This window comes from Homo sapiens, chromosome 15, assembly GCF_000001405.40.
Source record: "Homo sapiens chromosome 15, GRCh38.p14 Primary Assembly".
In the NCBI taxonomy this organism is placed as follows: Eukaryota; Metazoa; Chordata; class Mammalia; order Primates; family Hominidae; genus Homo; species Homo sapiens.
The window spans coordinates 31,278,275-31,281,290 of record NC_000015.10 but is presented as its reverse complement, the minus strand read 5'-3'; the positions used below and the strand labels follow the sequence as shown (position 1 = coordinate 31,281,290).

At 55.8% G+C, this 3,016-nt stretch overlaps 2 annotated features.

Moving 5' to 3' along the window:
• Window positions 1,795–2,295: an enhancer, noted in NCBI's record as "H3K4me1 hESC enhancer chr15:31571199-31571699 (GRCh37/hg19 assembly coordinates)". NCBI's record gives its function as "activates a minimal SCP1, AML or CMV promoter by ChIP-STARR-seq in primed H9 embryonic stem cells {active_cell/tissue: H9 hESC(primed)}" and the evidence as "EXISTENCE:reporter gene assay evidence [ECO:0000049][PMID:30033119]".
• Window positions 2,296–2,796: an enhancer, noted in NCBI's record as "H3K4me1 hESC enhancer chr15:31570698-31571198 (GRCh37/hg19 assembly coordinates)". NCBI's record gives its function as "activates a minimal SCP1, AML or CMV promoter by ChIP-STARR-seq in primed H9 embryonic stem cells {active_cell/tissue: H9 hESC(primed)}" and the evidence as "EXISTENCE:reporter gene assay evidence [ECO:0000049][PMID:30033119]".

Below are 3,016 nucleotides of genomic sequence, written 5' to 3'. Positions count from 1 at the left end.
TGGAATCAAAGTAGAAATAAATCACATAAAGTTGTCTGGATATCCCCCAAATAGTTGGAAGTCAAACAGAATACTTCTAAAAATTCCACGGGTCAAAGCAGAAATAACAAGAAAAATTACAGTCTTTCGAATTGAATGGTAGTGAAAATACAACCTGTCGAAATCTCCAGATACAGCTAAACAGTGCTTGGAGGGAAACGTGTGGCTCGAAACACTTACATTAGGAGAAGGGTGGGTGGCAGCCAGGACCACAGCCGTGTGTGAATGATGCTTTGGAAGGGGCTCCAGGACAGCACATGAGGGGCAGCTGGCCAGGCAAGGGATCAGGCTCAGGGTCCTAAGCAAACAGAGCCAGAGAAATGTCTGTGCCTTTTGCACATGCACACACACACATGTGTGTGTGTGCATGCATGTGTGTGTGTGTGTTTGTGTGTGTGTTTTGGGTTTGGATAGAAGGTCACTGAGCACCAGAGAATTCCTTCAATTGCACTTTCTGCCTGAAAATGGAGAAATGCCTCCTAGTGTTCAGTGCCACCCAAATACCTGGAAAGCAGTTTGGTCAGTGGGGGTCGAGGAGGGTTAGACCTGGTGGGGGTTGGGCAGCTGAGACCTGAGGGTGCAAGTGTGGGGGCAGGGGGCTCAGGCACCCCACCCAGGAGTTTGTCTAAATTCCCACAGCCTGGAACTGACTCCCCCGGCATTCTCATTCTCTCTGGGTGGGGACAGGACGGAGCTGCTGTGTTCTGACCTCACAGTGAAATCTGAATAATTGATGCCCAGTCTAATGTTTCGCCCAATTGTCATAAAGCAAGAAACACAAGCCCAGTGTGTGGCAGATGAGGCCCTGGACAAAGGGCTGTTTTCATTGCCCCCTTTCCCGGCCTCAGGTCTGCGAGGCTCTCCTCCCCAGCACATGATCTGTGACAATCATCCTGTGTTCTCCTGCCCCTCCCCGGGGAGCCATGGGAGGGATTATCGGGAGGTGGCTCCCCCAGGGTAGGAGAGGGCTGCGCCCCCACCCCCGCATGTGTCATCTGGAGCGTGTGCCCGACCGTTGCTTGATACCCACTTGGCACAGCCTTCTCTCTGCCGAGGGCTGCCAGGAGAGCTGCTGTCAATACAGAGCTCTCACCCAAACAAACAGCGCAGATGGGTCCCCAGGGGCCTGCGAGTTCCCAGCTCCAGCTCCATGTGCTGGGGGGTGGGATATGAGGAGTGGGTGTTGGGGACAGCAGAGGGACTCCCTGAGCCCCAGGCAGATGGGATAGAGCCCAACCCTGTTTGGATTTCTGGCACTGTTGTCTGGGGGTAGGGCTCATTTGTCACACCCCGAGGGGAAAATACACAGTAAATGAACTTCAAACATACTCAGCTCCATGAGCAGGGGACAGGTGACAGACCTCATTTAACTTGGCACCCAAGGCCATGACAGCATGTCTGGGCCAGGACAGAGCAGCGGCACAGCGGTGTCAGTGCCAACCTGGTCACCATAGGCGCTACAGAAGCCGGGCCTACGGGCAGGATGTGGCTTGTGTTCCCTGCAAGTTTTCCCAAATCAGTCATATATGCAATCTCGGAAAATCACAGAAATCTTTGGTGAGCTCAAGTTTAACACTCCCACCCTCCCCAAGTTAATAGGACTCGGCCTTGGAGTGTGTTTCTAGGTTTGGGCAGGGAGAAAGGGGCTGAGCCTCTTCCTCATGAAGAGAAGATGGGGAAGAAGGTGAGATTTGGGGACCAGTGTGTGGGCTGTGTGGGCCACAGTCAGCAGCTTGCAGGCCCTTCTGGTTTGTCCATTGAGAAGACACTCTGAGAGCAGGGCAGGCAGCAAATGAAAGTGTGGGCCGTTGTTCAGAAAGCAGGAAGGGTGTTTTTCTCTGCTATTTAAAATCAGCCCTGGGCTCAGGGATCCCTGTGGGGCATGTGCAGACCTCCCAGGTGCCCAGGGCTCTGTCTCATCCGTGGAGTGTCTGTGCAGGACAGCCGGGGCCTGTGGCAGGGCAGGTGGCAGCCCAGAACACCTAACAGGGGGTGTGAAGGAAGCAGGGAAAGGAGCCTTGGTGGATGCTCCATTGCCCCATTGACTTCACTTACAAAACACACATTCAAGGATAAACTCATTAAGAATCCCAAGAGCGGAACCCCAGGGCACGGCCGAAGGGGTGGCATGCGTGGGAGCCTCCCCTGCCCGTGAGGCCTTCTTCCCATCCAGGACAAACTGGCCTCCTGCTGGGGCAGGGTGGAGTGGGGACCATGCCAGGGATGGGGCACCGTTGCAGGACTGGAGGTTTGGGACAAACCTTAGCCCCAGGCGGCCCAAGGCAGCCACAGTGCAGAGCAGAGGGGAGACAGCGAGGGCTGCTGAATGCAGGGTGGGAGTGGACACCAGGCGCTCCGCCCCACACCTTCCTCACAGCCCTCATGCCCACCCCACCCACTGGACAGAGACTGGTTCACAGCCTGTTCCTCCCCAGTAATTGTCCTCTGCCTCAGGGAAGGTCCCTCCTGAGACAATGCTGCCACCAGTGGGACAATGACCCGCCAATGTTGCTGGTGCAGAGGCCCAGCCCCTTCAGGGTGCGAGGGCATCGTGAGCCTGTCTCTCTCTGTACCCCGTCCTGCCCTCCTCACTGTATGGAGCATGGGTGGTGAACCAGGGGGACTCTAGCCAGGGGAAGGGGTCCGACCAGCTGACGCAACATCCTAGTGGGTAAGGGACCTGGAGCCGGAGGACGGGGCTGCTCTGAGCACCACTCAGAAGATGATGGAGAATGACAACCAATGAAATCAAAATGGGAAAGTCAGAAGTCCTCCCTGATCTCCGGCATTTGGGGAATTTGGGGGATGGAAGTGAGAGGTGGATCACACCAAGGACATGGCGCAAAGTTACTGCTAGGTGTAGTGGAGCTCTCAGCCTCCAGGGGTGTCCCAAGCTAGGTCAGGACCTCGGTAGGGAAGGGAAGGGACCCTGAGATCTGGGACGGGGAGTCTGGGGAGGTGCAAGTGAGGACCTAGA